The 18079-nt window shown below is 48.9% G+C and overlaps 1 protein-coding gene across 3 annotated transcripts in view, besides 2 other annotated features; it reads right to left on the reverse strand.

Annotated features, from left to right (window-relative positions):
* Positions 9674–10267: an enhancer, noted in NCBI's record as "OCT4-NANOG-H3K27ac hESC enhancer chr19:10062835-10063428 (GRCh37/hg19 assembly coordinates)". NCBI's record gives its function as "activates a minimal SCP1, AML or CMV promoter by ChIP-STARR-seq in naive H9 embryonic stem cells {active_cell/tissue: H9 hESC(naive)}" and the evidence as "EXISTENCE:reporter gene assay evidence [ECO:0000049][PMID:30033119]".
* Positions 10268–10860: an enhancer, noted in NCBI's record as "H3K27ac hESC enhancer chr19:10063429-10064021 (GRCh37/hg19 assembly coordinates)". NCBI's record gives its function as "activates a minimal SCP1, AML or CMV promoter by ChIP-STARR-seq in naive H9 embryonic stem cells {active_cell/tissue: H9 hESC(naive)}" and the evidence as "EXISTENCE:reporter gene assay evidence [ECO:0000049][PMID:30033119]".
* The window catches only part of COL5A3 (collagen type V alpha 3 chain), a 50944-nt gene continuing 49940 nt past the window's right edge, over positions 17076–18079 (reverse strand). For all 3 annotated transcript variants that reach the window (XM_011528042.3, NM_015719.4, XM_017026849.2), the window contains one exon: positions 17076–18072. In XM_011528042.3, coding sequence (XP_011526344.1) covers positions 17926–18072 — 147 coding nt within the window. In that variant the 3' untranslated portion in view covers positions 17076–17925. The remainder of the gene's footprint in view (positions 18073–18079) is intronic.

Consider the following 18079-nt stretch of genomic DNA (forward strand, 5'->3'; position numbering starts at 1 on the left):
AGTGATGGGATCTTGGCTCACTGCAACCTCCACCTCCCAGACTCAAGCAATCCTTCCACCTCAGTCCATCCCAGTAAATGGGACTGCAGTTGCATGCCACCACACCTTGCTAATTTTCTGTATTTTCTGTAGAGATGGAGTCTCTCCATTTGCCTAGGCTTGTCTCAAACTCCTGGGCTCAAGGGATCCACCCGCATTGGCCTCCCAAAGTGCTAGGATTACAGGCGTGAGTCACCACGCCCAGCCATGCTGTTCCTTTTTATGGTTCAATAATATTCCATTGTGTGGATATCCCATATTTTGTTCATTAATTATGGTGATGTAGTCTTAAAGTCAAAAATCCCCACTCTAGGGGATAATTCTCCACCTCCCTGCTAATAATAGAGGCAGAAGCTCCTGCTTGGGTGAGTTGGGAGGTGATGGTTTTTGTTTTGTTTTTGTTTTTGTTTTGAGATGGAGCCTCGCTCTGTTGCCCAGGCTGGAGTGCAGTGGTACAATCTCAGCTCACTGCAACCTCCACCTCCTGGATTCAAGCAATTCTCCTGCTTCAGCCTCCAGAGTAACTGGGATTACAGGCACATGCCATCACGCCCAGCTAGTTTTTTGTATTTTTAGTAGAGACAGGGTTTCACTATGTTGGCCAGGCTGGTCTTGAACTCCTGACCTCAAGTGATGTGCCTTCCTTGGCCTCCCAAAGGGATAGGATTACAGGGGTGAGCCATTGCTCCCAGCCGGGAGGTGGTGTTTTGTAGCAAGTCATTCTATCGGCTTTCCCTAGATCCCTATTCTCCAGCCTTGGTTCTGTAAGCACCAAGTTCCCTGGTTTTGGTTCTCATTTCCTGCAACTAAACCGTGATTGATATGTGCTTGGAAGATTCATTCCCTTTATCTGTCTGAAGAGAACCTCATAATTCACGAAGCCCCAATACTCCAAGCTATTCATGACCTACCTACTCAGTACTCCCTCCTGGACCATGCTGGAAACATCTCTTTAACAGGAACCTTCCTGACTCACTGAGCTCCAGTGAAGCACCCACCACTGGGATACATCCTCTCCATACATTAATTCCTTGAGTTCTTACAACAACCCTGTAGGGTAGGCACTGTTATCCCCCATTTAAAAATGCAGGCCAGGTGCAGCAGCTCATACCTATAATCCCAGCACTTTGGGAGGCAGAGGACTGCAGATCACTTGAGCCCAGGAGTTTGAGACCAGCCTGGCAACATGGCAAAACCCCATCTCTACAACAAATACAAAAAGTAGCTAGGCATGGTGGCTTGCGCCTGTAGTACTAGCTACTTGGAAGGCTGAGGAGGGAAGATCGTTTGAGCCCAGGAGGTCGAGGCTGCAGTGAGCTGCAATTGCACCACTGCCCTCCAGCCTGGGTGACAGAGCGAGACCCTGTCTCTAATAAATAAATAAATGAAAACTTTGAGGCTCAGAGAGGTTAAGTAATTTGCCCGAGGTCACCCAGCTATAAAGGGCAGACACAGGATTCAGACTCAGTTCCATCTGACTCAAAGCCAACCTATTGACCGGGTGCAGTGGCTGGCACCTGTATTCCCAGCACTTTAGGAGACCAAGGTGGGAGGATCACTTGAGCCCAGGAGTTCTAGGCTGCAGTGACCTGTGATGGTGCCACTGTACTCCAGCCTGGGTGACAGAGTAAGACCTTGTCTCTTTTCTTTTTTTCAAAAAAAGAAAAAAAAAAAGGAAGTAGTTGGGGTCTCGCCCAGGTAATTCTTTTTTTTTTTGGGGGGGAGATGGAGTCTTGCTCAGTCGCCCAGGCTGGAGTGCAGTGGCGCGATCTCGGTTCACTGCAAGCTCTGCCTCCTGGGTTCACACCATTCTCCTGCCTCAGCCTCCCGAGTAGCTGGGACTACCGGCACCTGCCACCACGCCCAGCTAATTTTTTTGTATTTTTAGTAGAGACAGGGTTTCACCATGTTAGCCAGGATGGTCTCGATCTCCTGACCTCGTGATCCACCCACCTTGGCCTCCCAAAGTGCTGGGATTACAGGCATGAGCCACTATGCCCAACCTCACCCAGGTAATTCTTTTAATTAATGAGAGCCCATCTCTACTAAAAATAAAAAATTATCTGAGCATGGTGCCTTGTGCCTGTAGTCTCACCTACTCTGGAAGCTGAAGCAGGAGAATTGCTTGAGCCTGAGAGATTGAGGCTTCAGTGAGCTGATTGCACCACTGGACTCCAGCCTGGGCAACAGAGTGAGACCTTGTCTCAAAAAAGAAAGAAAGAAAGGGGCCAGGCACTGTGGTTCACAACTGCAATCCCAGCACTTTGGGAGGCCACGGTGGGTGGATTACTTGAGGTCAGAAGTTTGAGACTAGCCGGGCCAACATGATGAAACCCCGTCTCTACTAAAAATACAAAAATTAGCCTGGCATGGTGGCGCATGCCTGTAATCCCAGCTACTCGGGAGGCTGAGGCAGGAGAATTGCTTGAAACCGAGAGATGGAGGTTGCAGTAAGCTGAGATCACTGCACTCCAGCCTGGGTGACAGAATAAGACGAAAGAGAGAAAGAGAGAGGGAAAGAAAGAAAGAGAGAGAGAGAGAGAGAGAAAGAAAGAAAGAAAGAAAGAAAGAAAGAAAGAAAGAAAGAAAGAAAGAAAGAAGAAAGCAAGAAGGAAGGAAGGAAGGAAAGAAAGCAGCAGAAAAAGAGGAAGGAAGGGAGGAAGGAAAGAAGGAAGGAAGGAAGGGAGGGAGGGAGGGAAGGAAGGAAGGAAGGAAGGAAGGAAAGAGAGAGAGAGAAAGAAAATAGACACACACACAACTCCACAAAACCCACAATTCAGACACACAGCTCACACACAGGTCTCCAGCATAGACATATTTATACATCCGTTTACTCAAACACTCACAATACAATCACATAAAACAGGCAGACAGTTCACATGCCAACACACTCTTGCACAGACACGCAAACAGAAGCATGGAATTTGTACAGAGCACGCTCACAGTGTCTGATCCATAACTCAGACACGGAGTCACGCCCACAAAGGCACAGTAGAGGCAGAGTTCACACACAAACAGACCCGCGGGGACCCACGACACAGCCCTCTGACACGAGGACGCCAGGCCAGGGCAGCGTGGGAATGAGGCTGCAAGGAGGGAGTGAGGTGGAGAGGATGACTCAGGAGGCCTCTCTGGGGGAGGAGGAGGGAAGGGGGAGGAGGGCAGGCATCCAGCGCATGTGGTTCCTATTAGGGGCCTGGGAATTGAGGCATGAGCTGGCGGGACAAGGAGACCCAGGAACGCTTCCCAGCCTTACCAAAGCAGGAAGGAGCAGGGCCCTGATCTAAGGCCATGCGGCCGGAACTTGGCTCAGAACCACAGCCGTTCTAAGGCAGAGTGGTCTGCCCCAAGCCAGGCCCAGCAGGGGGCTCATTTCAACCCCTGCGATAGTCCTGGAGAAGATTTCTTTTTATTTTTTCTTCTTTCTTTCTTTCTTTTTTTTTTTTTTCTGAGACAGAGTTTCGCTCTTGTTGCCCAGGCTGCAGTGCAATGGCGCGATCTCAGCTCACTGGAACCTCCACCTCCCAGGTTCAAGCGATTCTCCTGCCTCAGCTACCCGAGTAGCTGGGATTACAGGCTCCTGCCACATGCCTGGCTAATTTTTGTATTTTTAGTAGAGACAGGGTTTCACCATGTTGGTCAGGCTGGTCTTCAACTCCTGACCTCAGGTGATACGCCTGCCTCGGCCTCCCAAAGTGCTGGAATTACAGGCATGAGCCACCAAGCTGGGCCCCTTTCTTTCTTTTTTTGAGACAGGGCCTCACTCTGTCACCCAGGCTGGAGTGTGGTAGCACAATCACAGCTCATTGTAGCCTCGACCTCCCCAGGCTCAGGTGATCCTCCTACCTCAGCCTCCCAGGTAGCTGGTACTACAGGTGCACACCGCCACCATGCCCAGCTAATTGTATTTTTTATAGAGATGGGGTTTCACCATGTTGCCCAGGCTGTTCTGGTCTTGAACTCCTGGGCTCAAGTGATCAACTCGCCTTGGTCTCCCAAAGGGTTGGGATTACAGGCATGAGCCACCCGGCCTGGACTTTTTTCTTTTTTTTTTTTTTTTGAGACAGGGTCTTGCTCTGTCGCCCAGGCTGGAGTACAGTGGTGCAATCATGGCTCACTGCAGCCTCGACATCCTGGCCTCAGGCAATCCTCCTTGGAGGGTTTCGTAGGGGAGGAAAGTGACATTCAGAAAGGTGAAGCAACTTGCCTGAGGTCACACAGCAAGGAGGTAGAGGAGCTAGGATTCAAGCCCTTGTCTCTGTGCAGCCTCCTCTCCCCACCTTGTAGTAGAGGCCAGGACCCCTCCATTTAAGCTACAAGCAGAGATCAAGAACTGACACCTGGACCAGGCTGCACTGGATTTGTGGCTCTGAAACAGCCAGCTCTGGCCAGGCGCGGTGGCTCTTGCAAGTAATCCCAGCACTTTGGGAGGCCAAGGCAGATGGATCACTTGAGGCCAGGAATTTGAGACCAGCCTGACCAATATGATGAAACCCTGTCTTTACTAAAAATACCAAAAATTAGTCAAGCGTGGTGGTGTGTGCCTGTAGTCCCAGCTACTGGGGAGACTGAGGCAGGAGAATCACTTGAATCCAGGAGGCGGAGGTTGGTGGGCCGAGATCACGCTACTGCACTCCAGCCTGGGGAGCAGAGTGAGGCTCTGTCTCAAAAAAAAAAAGAAAAAAAAAGGGAAAGAAAAAGCCAGCCCCATCCTCAAATAACTTAGAGTCAAGAGCGTGCTGTGTGCACATGTGGGCAAGGTTCTCTGGGCGTGTATGGGAGGCCCTGACGTAGCCTGGGTTGTTTGCCATGAGGGGCGGATGCTGGAGATGAAACCTGAAGGATGCAGAGGAGCTAGCAGGGCTCGGTGGGCAGCAAGAAGACCCTGGGGCTGCAAGGTTCAGAGAGTTAGGTCACCTGGTGAGGGACAGTGACAGGGGAAGCCCAAGATTCTAGGTCAGAGGACTTGGGCTTTATCTTAGGGTTAACAGGGAAGCCTCAGAAGAATGGTGAGAGGAAAGGGACAGGGTGAAGTCTGAGTGACCAGCACGAAGTCCACACCCAGGACAGCTGAACATGTGCCTCCCCCATAACCCAGAATTTCTATTCTTAGCAATCTATACACCCTAGAGACACTTATCTATGTGCACAAAAGACACACGCTGTGGCCGGGTGCAGTGGCTCATGCCTGCAATCCCAGCACTTTGGGAGGCCAAGGCGGGAGGATGGGTTGAGCCCAAGAGTTCCAGACCAGCCTGGGCAACAGGGCAAGACCTCCTCTCTATAAAATAATAATAATAATAATAATAATAATAATAATAATAATAATAAAACTACCTGGTCATGGTGATTTGCGCCTTCTATTTGGGAGGATGAGGTGGGAGAATCACTTGAGCCCAGGAGTTGAAGGCTGCAGTGAGCTATCATTGCACCGCTGCACCCCAGCCTGGGCAAGAGCAAGACCCTGTCTCTTAAAAAAAAAAAAGACACATGGCTGGGCCGGGTGCAGTGGCCCATGCCTGTAACCCCAGCACTTTGGGAGGCCAAGGTGGGTGGATCACAAGGTCAGGAGTTTGAGACCAGCCTGGCCAACATGGTGAAACCCCCGTCTCTACTAAAAATACAAAAATTAGCAGGGCGTGGTGGTGCGCACCTGTAGTCCTAGCTACTCAGGAGGCTGAGGCAGGAGAATCGCTTGAACCCGCAAGGCGGAGGTTGCAGTGAGCCGAGATCAGGCCACTGCATTCCAGCCTGGGTGACAGACGGACAATCTGTCCCAAAAAAAAAAAAAAAAGACACATGGCCAGGCACAGTGGCTCTTGCCTGTAATCCCAGCACTTTGGGAGGCCAAGGTGGGTGGATCACGAGGTCAGGAGATCGATACCATCCTGGCTAACACGGTGAAACCCCATCTCTACTAAAAATAGAAAAAATTAGCTGGGCATGGTGGCGGGCGCCTGTAGTCCCAGCTACTCAGGAGGCTGAGGCAAGAGAATGGCGTGAACCCGGGAGGCGGAGCTTGCAGTCAGCCGAGATAGCGCCACTGCACTCCAGCCTGGGTGAAAGAGCGAGACTCTGTCTAAAAAAAAAAAAAAAAAAAAAAAGACGCATGCCAGAATGTTTAAACAGAAACAAAATGGGAAAAACCTAAGAGTTCATGCATAGAATGAGTAACTATGCAGAGGTAAGGTCACACGTTACCACTGCACTTTAGCATGGGCAAGAGAACAATACCCTGTCTCAGAGAGAGAGGGAGAGAGAGAGAGAGAGAGAGAGAGAGAGAGAGAGAGATACTTGTATCTACAAGGACAGGCAAAACCTCCAGTTGAGCTAACAAAGCAAGTTGCAAAAGAACATGTTCAACCTTGAACCAGTTAGAGATCATTTAAAAATCTGCCAAATCATGTGTGTCATCCATGGATACAGCAGTCCATATGCAGTACATTTGGAAAAGCATTCTGGGAACAGCCATTCCCACACTCAGAGGGGTGGGATAATGGGGAAAGAGTGTTTCATGGGGACAGTAGTTCAGTCTGGGAAGATGAGAACATTCTGGAGATGAGTGGTGATGATGGTTGCACAGTAATGCGATCGTACTCAAGCCACTGGACTATACACTTGAAACTAGTTACAATGGAAAACGTTATGTTATATACATATATATATATATTTTTATTTATTTATTTATTTATTTATTTGAGACGTTGTCTGCCTTTGTCACCAGGCTGGAGTGTAGTGGCACCATCTCAGCTCACTACAACCTCCGCCTCCCGGGTTCAAGCAATTCTTCTGCCTCAGCCTCCTGAGTAGCTGGGACTACAGGTGCACACCACCACACCCACCTAATTTTTGTTTTTTTAGTAGAGACGGGGTTTCACCGTGTTGGCCAGGATGGTCTCAATCTCTTGACCTCATGATCTGTCCACCTCGGCCTCCCAACGTGTTGGGCATGAGCCACCGCGCCCAGCCCTATGTTATGCATATTTTACATACACATTTGGATACAGTTGGTGAGGGAAAGAAAGAGATGCAGTCGGATAAATGTATACAAGGGGCATCAATTATGTGCAAAGCGTTATTTCTCAGGTGGGTGTGTGAGTAGGTGAGAGTTCATGATAAGAGTTCTCTCTATTATTTTCTATTTATGTATTAATTAATTAACTTTTTTTTGAGACGGAGTCTCACTCTGTCACCCAGCGTGGAGTGCATTGGCATGATCTCAGCTCACTGCAGCCTCCGCCTCCTGGGTTCAAGCGATTCTCCTGCCTCAGCCTCCTGAGTAGCTGGGATTGCAGGTGCACACCACCATGCCCAACTAATTTTTGTATTTTTAGTAGAGACGGGGTTTCACCATGTTGGCCAAGCTGGTCTCGAACTCCTGACCTCAGATGATCTGGCCTCCTTGACTTCCCAAAGTGCTGGGATTACAGGCGTGAGCCACCATGCCTGGCTGGTTATTATAAATAGTGCTGCTATGCACATGGGTGTACAAATATGTCTTTGAGCTTTCGCTCTCAATTCTTTTGCTATATACCCAGAAGTGGGATTGCTCTGCCTGGTACATTTCTTGTTAAAATTTTGTTTTCATTGAGGCATATATTATACACAATAAAATTCACTAATCTCTATTTTTTTTTTTTTTTTTTTAGACAGGGTCTCATTCTATCATCCAGGCTGGAACGCAGTGGCCCAGTCATGGCTCACTGCAGCCTTGACCTCCTGGGCTCAAGTGATACTGTTGCCTCAGCCGCCCTAGAAGCTGGGACTACAGGCACATGCCATTACACCTGGCTAAAGTTTTAAGTTTTTGTAGAAACAGGGTCTCACTATGTTGCCAGGGCTAATCTTGAACTCCTGGCCTCAAGCGATCCTCCCACCTTGGCCTCCCAAAGCGCTAGGATTACAAACTTGAGCCACCACCCCTGGACTCCCCTAGCTTTTCTTCATAGCACCACTTGATATTATATATATACATATATATACACACATATATGTGTGTGTATATATACATATATGTGTGTGTGTGTGTGTGTATATGTGTGTGTGTGTATGTGTGTGTGTGTATATATATATGTATATATTTGCTTACTGCCTGTCAACCATCCTAAAGTGTTAACTCCAGCAGGGCAAGGATCTTTGTTTGTTTCATGGCTGTCTCCCCAGAGCCTACGCCATTGCACTCTAGTGCCTGGAGCATAGTAGGTGCTGAACAAATATTTGTTGAATGTTATATGTGCTGGGATGGGGCCTCTGATATGTCTACAAGCCAGTTTTTTGGGGTTTTTGTTGTCGTTGTTGTCGTTTTTGAGATGGAGTCTCGCTCTGTTGCCCAGGCTGGAGTGTAGTGGTGCGACCTCGGCTCACTGCAACCTCCACCTCCCGGGTTCAAACGATTCTCCTGCCTCAGCCTCCCGAGTAGCTGGGATTACAGGTGTGCACCACCATGCCTCACTAATTTTTGTATTTTTAGTAGAGATGGGGTTTCAGCATGTCCACCAGGCTGGTCTTGAACTCCTGACCTCAGGTGATCTGCCGGCCTCAGCCTCCCAAAGTGCTGGGATTACAGGCATGAACCACCATGACTGGCCTACAAGCCAGTTTAACCAGGCTCTTGTATGTAGCTTCATGTGTCAATGGCATGTCTTCATGTGAGGCTGCAGTTTTCCAGGTCTAACATGTGCCAGCCAGGTCTCATGATGCAGTAGTTTTGTGTATGACAATGACAGTCTCTCTCTCCAGGTGTGGCTCTGTCTCTGCAAATGGATTTCTGAACACCAATGTGTGTGTGTGAAGGGAGCTCTGGGTGTGTGTTGTAAACCAATAAGTAGGCCGGGTGCGGTGGCTCACGCCTGTAATCCCAGCACTTTGCAAGGCCGAGGAGGGCGGATCCGAGGTCAGGAGATAGAGACCGTCCTGGCTAACACAGTGAAACTCTGTCTCTACTAAAAATACAAAAAATTGGCAGGGCGCGGTGGCGAGCACCTGTAGTCCCAGCTACTCAGGAGGCTGAGGCAGGAAAATGGCGTGAACACGGGAGGCGGAGCTTGCAGTGAGTCGAGATGGCACCGCTGCACTCCAGCCTGGGCGACAGAGCGAGACTCTGTCTCAATAAATAAATAAATAAATAAATAAATAAATAAATAAACCAATAAGTAACAGAGGCAGATCTCAATCAATTTAGAGGTTGATTTTGCCAAGGTTAAGGACACTCCTGGGAAAAAGAAACACAAGTTACAGTAGGATCTGCCGCCTGTGCTTTGTCCAAAGAGAGTTTTTAGGACTTCACTATTTAAAGGGGACTGGGTGTAGTGGTTCATGCCTGCAATCCCAGTGCTCTAGGAGGCCGAAGTGGGAGGATCACTTGAGCCCGGGAGTTCGAGGCTGCAGTGAGCTGTGATGGCACCATTGCACTTCAGCCTGGGCAACACAACGAGACCCTATCTCCAAAAAGAAATTCTTTTAAGAAAAAAAATTAGAGTGGGCACAATGGCTCATACCTGTAATCCCACACTTTGGGAGGTCAAGGCGGGCAGATCACTTGAGGCCAGGAGTTCAAGACCAGCCTGGCCAACATGGTGAAACCCCATCTCTACTAAAAATACAAAAAATTAGCCGAATGTGGCAGCATGTGCCTGTAATCCCAGCTACTTGGGAGGCTCAGGTATGAGAATCGCTTGAACTCGAGAGGCAGAGGTTGCAATGAACCGAGATCACATCATTGCACTCCAGCCTGGGTGACAAAGCAAGACTCCATCTCAAAGAAGAGAAAAAAATTAAAACAAATTTAAGGGGAAAAAGCAAAAAGGAGGGGAAGGAGGAAGGGAAAAATAGGGGAGAGAGTAGGCAATGAGGCAAGTGGTTTCATTCATGTGAGGCTTTGATTACCGCTTAGTGAATCTGCATTTTACATGTGAAAAGAGAGGGGTAGATTATGCAATCGGCTCCAGCTCAGTAAATCTACATTTTACGTAAGACAGAGTAAGCAAGTGAAATTACAGCTATCTCCTTCGGAACAAAAGGAAAGCAGTTTTCGCCTGACTCAGTTCCCAAGCTTCACTTTTCCCTTTTGCCACAGTTGAGTTTGGAGCCCCAAGTTGCAATTTTCCTTTCACAGCTGGGAGTGTGTGACTGTGTGTGTGCCCTGCTATTGGTGCCAGTGTGTCTGAACCTGGCTGAGGATGTGGGTGTGTGTACGGGAGTTTGGAACATGACCTGCAGCCGTGGCAGGGGTGACAAGAGAAAAGCCTGACTTTGAGGGTCCTTGGTTCTGATATATAATTGTGTGTGAGTGTCCCCATCAAAGTTGTGGCCGGGCACGGTGGCTCATGCCTGTAATCCCAGCACTTTGAGAGGTCAAGGCAGGCGGATCGCCTGAGGTCAGGAGTTTGAGACTAGCCTCGCCAACATTGCCAAACCCCGTCTCTAATAAAAATTTAAAAAAAAAAAAAAAAAAGCTAGGAATGGTGGCACACACCTGTAGTCCCAGCTACTCAGGAGGCTGAGTCAGAGGAATTGCTTGAACCTGGGAGGCGGAGGTTGCAGTGAGCCAAGATTGTGCCACTGCCACTGCATTCCAGCCTGGGCAACAGGGCAAGACTTCATCTCAAACAAAACAAAACGAAGTTATGGGTATGCGTGTGTAAAATTCCCTGCTAGGCCCGGCACCCTGGCTAACACCTGTCATCCCAGCACTTTGAGAGGCTGAGGCAGGAGAACCGCTTGAGCTCAGGAGTTCCAGACCAGCCTGGGCAACATAGTGAGCCCTTGTCTCTACAAAAGATTTAAAAATTAGGTGGGTGTGGTGGCACGAGCCTGTGGTCCCAGCTACTCAGGAGGCTGAGATGTGAGGATCTCTTGAGACTGGGATGTTGAGGCTCTACTCCAGCCCGGGCAACAGAACGAGACCATCTCAAAAACAACAACAACAACAAAAGAAATAGCCGGGCATGGTGGTGCGCACCTGTAGTCCCAGCTATGAGGGAGGCTGAGGCAGGAGGATTGCTTAAAGCCAGGAATTTGAGGCTGCAGTGAGCTATGATCAAGCCACTGAACTTCAGCTTGGGTGACAGCACAGGACCCTGTCTCTAAAAAAATAAATTAAAAACCATTAGTGAGGAGAGGTGGGATGCACCTGTGGTCCCAGCTACTCTGGAGGCTGAGGCAGGAGGATCACTTGAGCAGGGGAGGTGGAAGCTACAGTGAGCCATGATCACACCACTGCACTCCAGCCTGGTGACAGAGCAAGACCCCAACTCCTAAACAAATAAACTCCCCTACCATATCCGCCCCGCGCCTGACCACAGCCATCTCTGTATAAAGCCACAGGCGGCCCCCACTCTGGCCACCCCACTCCACCCCTGGCTGGAACACTGGGTGTCAGTAATTGCTCAGGGAGCACTAGCAGTGTGATTAATTATGGCTGCTAAATATGTAAATCAGCTGGGGGTTTTCCGGGCAGCCGCCTGGGTGCTGGCACTAATGTTGAATAAACACAAGGAGCTTAGCAAGGCCCAGAATTCCCTTCTCACACCTTTGTCAATTAACGTTTCATTTATGGGGTTGGGTTTCTCATTCATTAACGAGCTTTGGGCTCATTAAAGAGTCCTCATTAAACTCTATAAATCGTCCCTCCTTTCCAAAACGCCTGCACTGGGATGGGAATGGAGTTGCAAAACCGAGACAGGCCGACCTGCATTCAAACGCCTGGCTGTGTACTGTGGGCAGACGCCTCCCCTCTCTGAACCTGTTTCCTTCCTGTAAAATGCAAGCAAACAGACATGGGGGCATGGGGGCAAGCGCCCTGTGGCTCATGCCTATAATCTCAACACTTTGGGAGGCCAAGGCGGGAGGATCGCCTGAGGACAGGAGTTTGAGACCAGCCTGGGCAACATAGCAAGACCCTTTCTCTACAAAAAAAATTTGAAAATTAGCTGAGCATGGTGAAGCGCACCTGTAGTCCCAGCTACTCAGGAGGTGGAGGCAAGAGGGTTGGTTGAGCCCAGGTGTTGGAGGCTGCAGTGAGCTATGATCGTGTGACTGCACTCCAGCCTGGGCAACAGAGCAAGATCCTGTTTCAAAAAAATAAAAGGCTGGGGTCAGGAGTTCAAGACCAGCCTGGTCAACATAGTGAAAGCCCTGTCTCTACTAAAGATGCAAAAATTAGCTGGGTGTGATGGCACGTGCCTGTAGTCCCAGTTGCTCAGGAGGCTGAGACAGGAGAATTGCTTGAACCCAGGAGGCAAAGGCTGCAGTGAGCTGAGATCATGCTACTGTACTCCAGCCTGGTCAACAGAGCAAGACTCTGTCTCAAAAAATAAAGAAATACAATAAATAAAATAAAATAAAAGAAATAGGCCGAGCACGGTGGCTCACACCTGTAATCCCAGCACTTTGGGAGGCTGAGGCAAGTGGATCACCTGAGGTCAGGAGTTCGAGACCTGCCTGACCAACATGGTGAAACCCCCGTCTCTACTAAAAATACAAAAATTAGTTGGGCATGGTGGCACACGCCCATAATCCCAGGTACACGGGAGCCTGAGGCAGGAGAATCGCTTGATCTCAGGAGGCAGAATTTGCAGTGAGCTGAGCTCACGCCATTGCTCTCAAGCCTGGGTGACAGAGCGAAACTCCTTCTCAAAAATAAATAAATAAATAAATAATAATAATTAAAATAAAATAAATATAAATAAAAAGAAAGGGAGATATTAAAGTGGACTGTGATAATTAAGAAAGAGAATACATGTAAAGTGCTGAGCCCAGGGGTGTAATTTTGAAAAACGGCAACAGCCAAAATTCCCTTAAGAGAGAGAATGGCTTTTTGTTTAGCAAAATGTTTGTGTTTTTTGTTTTTCGTTTTTAAGAGATGGGATCTTGGTATGTTGCCCATGTTGACTTGAAGTCCTGGGCTCAAACTCACTCCAGATCTCCCACCTTAGGCTCCTAAATAGCTTGAGCTACAGGTGCATGTCACCATGCCCAGCTCTGTTTAGCAAAATCTGTTGATGATCTTCATCACTTTCTTCTTTTTTTTTTTTTTTTTGACGGAGTCTCGCTCTGTCGCCCAGGCTGCAGTGCAGTGGTGCAATCTCAGCTCACTGCAAGCTCCACCTCCCGGGTTCACGCCATTCTCCTGTCTCAGCCTCCCGAGTAGCTGGGACTACAGGCGCCCGCCACCACGCCCTGCTAATTTTTCATATTTTTAGTAGAGACGGGGTTTCACTGGGTTAGCCAGGATGGTCTCGATCTCCTGACCTCATGATCCACCCACCTTGGCCTCCCAAAGTGCTGGGATTACAGGCGTGAGCCACCGCGTCTGGCCGATGGTCTTCATCACTTTCTAGTTCTAGACTTTGGATAAATTATTCCACCTCTCTCTGTTCCTCAGTTTCTTTATCTGCACCACAGAGATAATAATAGAACATCCCTCAAAGGTTGTTATGTGGGATAATTAAATTAATCGAGGTAAAACATTTGATGAACAGTGTCTGGCATATGAGTAATAAATGGCAACTATGATTAAGATTAATAGTGTTAGTTGAGGCTGGGCATGGTGTCTCACGCCTGTAATCCCAGCACTTTGGGAAGCTGAGGCTGAATGATCCCTTGAGCCCAGGAGCTTGAGACCAGCCTGGGCAACACAGTGAGACCTTGTCTTTTTTTTTTTTTTTTGAGACAGAGTCTCGCTCTGTCACCCAGGTTGGAGTGCAGTGGCACAATCTCGGCTCACTGCAACCTCCACCTCCCTGGTTCAAGCAATTCTCATAGCTCAGCCTCCACAGCAGCTGGGACTACAGGCACATGCCACCATGCCCAGCTAATTTTTGTATTTTTAGTAGAGACGGGGTTTCACCATATTGGCCAGGCTGGTCTCAAACTCCTGACCTCATGATCCACCCGCCTTGGCCTCCCAAAGTGCTGGGATTACAGGTGTGAGCCACTGTGCCCAGCCGAGACCCTGTCTCTCTGTTTTTTTTTTTTTAATTATACTTTAAGTTCTAGGGTACATGTGCACAACGTGCAGGTTTGTTACATAGGTATACATGTGCCATGTTGGTGTGCTGCACCCATTAACTCATTTACATTAGGTATATCTCCTAATGCTATCCCTCCCCCCTCCCCCCAGACCCTGTCTCTTTAAAAAAGTTTAAAAATTGGCTGGGCGCGGTGGCTCATGCCTGTAATCCCAGCATTTAGGAGGCCAAGATGTGTGGATCATGAAGTCAGGAGATCAAGACCATCCTGGACAACATGGTGAAACCCCGTCTCTAGTAAAATACAAAAAAAAAAATTAGCCAGGCATGATGGCGCACACCTATAGTCCCAGCTACTAGGGAGGCTGAGGCAGGGTAGTTGCTTGGAACCAGGAGGCAGAGGTTGCAACGAGCCGAGATCACGCCACTGCACTCCAGCCTGGCGACAGAGCAAGACTCTGTCAAAAAAAAAAAAAAAGTTTAAAAATTAGCTGGGCGTGGTGGCACATGAATATAGTCCCAGCTACTTGAGAGGCTGAGGTGGGAGGATCACTTGAGTCCAGGAGTTGGAGACTGCAGTGAGCTATGATTGCACCACTGCACTCCAGCCTGGGCAACAGCAAGAAAAAAAAATGCTTCTAAAAAAACATGAATGAACGAATCATCAACCTCTGGGCACCAACAGTCTTCATGGAGTCAGGACTCTTAGCAACGTTGATTCAATGAATGAGGACAAGTATTCAGGTGGCCTTAAGGGGCTGGTGGCAGGAGTAGTAGGGTGAGAGCCTTGGGTTTGAGGGAGAAAACTCACCCCAACCTGAAGTTTCTACCCACCCAATCCCATCTGACCCAACTCAACTCACACCATTTCTCCATCACTCCTAACTAAACTCAATCCAACAGTGCCCATCAACGATGAATGAATTAGCTGAAGGTGGGAGATGACTGAATATTACTTGGCAATAAAAAGGAATGAAGTACTGATGCATGCTGCAAATAAACCTGGAAACCAGCCAGGCACTGTGGTTAATGTCTGTAATCTCAGCACTTTGGGAGATCGAGGTGGGTGAATCACTTGAGGCCAGGGGTTCGAGACCAGCCTGGCCGACATGGTGAAACTCCGTTTCTACTAAAAATACAAAAATTAGCCAGGGATGGTGGTGCGTGCCTGTAGTCCCAGCTACTCGCGAGGCTGAGAAAGGAGAATTGCTTGAACCCTGGAGGGGGAGGTTGCAGTGAGCCGAGATTGTGCTACTGCACTCCAGCCTGGGTGACAGAGCGAGACTCTGCCCACAAAACAAAAAACTCCTGGAAACCGTTTTGCTGAAAATGCCAGATACAAAGGGCCATATATCATTATATCATTTATTTGTATTTATTCCTTTTTTTTTTTTTTTTTTAGAGACAAGGTCTCACTCTGTTTCCCAGGCTGGAGTGCAGTGGTGAGATCACAGCTCACTGCAGCCTCCAACTCCTGGCCTCCAGTGATTCTCCCGCCTCAGCCTCTTGGGTAGCTGGGACTACAGATATGCACCACTGTACCTGGCTAATGTTTTTATTTTCATTTTTGTAGAGATGGGGTCTTGCTATGTTGCCTAGGCTGGTCTGGAACTCCTGGCCTCAAGCGATCCTCCTGCCTTGGCCTCCCAAAATGCTGGGGTTGCAGGAGTGAGCCACCTCACCTAGCGTGATTCCATTTATATGAAATGGATATTTCTGTCCAGAATAGGCAAATCCTTAGAGACAGAAAGCAGATTCGTGGTTGCCTACAGCTGGGAGGTTGGAAAGACATGAGTGACCACTAATGGGTATAGGATTTCTTTTAATTACACAGCTTAAATGGGTGAATTATATGGTAATGAATGGTAATGAATTATATGGTAATGGGTAAATGAATTCTATCTCAATAAATCAGTTAAAAATATACCTCAAACCAACATCTTACTCCTAATTCAAATCATCCCAAACCAAATTTTTTTTTTTTTTTGAGACAAGTTCTTGCTGTGGTGTCACCCAGGCTGGAGCACAGTGGTGCAATCTCAGCTTACTGCAACCTCCGCCTCCCAGGCTCAAGTCATTCTCCCACCTCAGCCTCCTGAGTAGCTGAAACCACAGGCATGCTCCTCCATGCCTAGCTAATTAAAAAAAATTTTTTTGTAAAGAGGCCAAACTTCTGGTTTAAGCTGACTTGGGCCTCCCAGCCCAAGCTGACAATTTTCAACTTTTCCTCTAGGAGCCTGGGTGAATAAATAGGCCTATAATCTCCAGTGAGTCTCATTATAATTGCATTCCCAAAAGACATACCTAATTAATACAGGTGGTGACAGGTACCTCAGATGAGACAAGAGCCAGATCCCAAGACAGATATGGGCCACATCAGATGAAAGAGATCAAGAGCTGGGTGAGGTGGCTCGTACCTGTAATCTCAGCAGCTCAGGAGGCTGAGGTGGGAGGATTGCTTGAGGCTAGTAGTTTGAGACAAGCCTGGGCAACAAAGAAAGACACCATCTGTACACAAACACACACACACACACACACACACAAAACAACCCAGCTGGGTGTGATGGTGCATGCCTGTGGTCCCAGGTACTCAGGAGGCTGAAGAAGGAGGATCACTCGAGTCCCAGAGTTGGAGGCTGCAGTGAGCCATGATCATGCCCTTGCACTCCAGACTGGGCGACAGAGTGAGACCCAGTCTCTAAAAACGAGCAAACAAGGGCTGAGCGTGGTGGCTCACATCTGTAATCCCAGCACTTTGGGAGATCAAGGCGGGCGGATCACCTGAAGTCAGGAGTTCAAGACCAGCCTGGCCAACAAGGTGAAATCCCATCTCTACTAAAATTATAAAAATTAGCCGGGTGTGGTGGTGCATATCTGCAACCCCAGCTTCTAGGGAGGCTGAGGCAGGAGAATTGTTTGAACCCGGGAGGCGGAGGTTGCAGTGAGCCAAGCTTGCACCACTGCACTCCAGCCTGGGCGACAGAGCAAGACTGCGTCTCAAGGATAAATAAATAAAACAAACAAACAAACAAAAAAATTTAAAAAAGAAATACACAGAGACAGAAACACAGTTCATCAGTTTATTCTCAGATTTGAGATGCAAATTATGCCCTATGGCCTGGCGGTGGGGGGCCAGGCTTGGGCTGGAATCTCTCATCATATCCCAGCCTTCCCTAAGGAGGAAGCAGATGAAATCTACAACAGGGGGGACTTTCCCTTTTAATACAGACCCAGGTATAAATAGGGCAGCACCATTAGGATCCTGATTCACCCCCCCAACATCTTGGTCCCCAAACCACCTGGCATGGCAAGGTGAGCCTGGGGAGGTGGGGGGCAGGGGGAGGGGATTTGCAGAGCTGGGCTGAGGCAGGAAAAGAAACACAACCCAGTCAAGGGAAGTCCCTCTTCCCTCTGTAGTCCGACCTCAGTCCTTTCACCGTGGAAGTAGAAAGGATCAAAGGGGGTGGGGGTAGGGGTCCCAGCCTGGGATCAGGAGACATCCAGTGCTTAACTCTGGGGAGGGGTAGCACCAAAAGGTGTGAAGGGCAGCGACGGAGGAGTGAGGAGGCAGGCATTGGGGGTGGGGGGGCTTTTGTTCATCAGCTCTGAGTTAGAAGCTCATTGCATGGGGGTTCAAGGGGTGGGGAGGTGAGGCTTGGGTGGGGAGGGAGGGGAGAAAGAGCCAGACTGCAGTATGCCACCTGGAATGGGGTGAGAGGAGGCTGGACCCTTGGGCCAGGGAACCCCAGCCCCCAGCACCCTGGAAAGGAGAAGGAATGACTGTCCGTGATGAGCGAAGTCACATCCCATTGGCTCCATAGTCACAGGTAACGAAAAATACGGTGGCTTCAAAGCCTCAGCACCAAATGCACCCCATTCTGGGGCTCCCTCATGGTCCCTCCCACCCCGGACACTCTCAGCTGCTGAAGCAGACGGGGCCCAGTTCAAACCCAAACTTTTGGTTCGTCTGGCCAAAGTCAGTGGCCGCCACATCCCACAGGGGCAGAAATCCCGCTCGAGAAGAGCTGAATTCGAAAAGGGTCTTCGTCTGTCCTTTCCGGAGCTGTCCC

Source organism: Homo sapiens, chromosome 19 (genome assembly GCF_000001405.40).
Source record: "Homo sapiens chromosome 19, GRCh38.p14 Primary Assembly".
Lineage (NCBI taxonomy): Eukaryota > Metazoa > Chordata > Mammalia > Primates > Hominidae > Homo > Homo sapiens.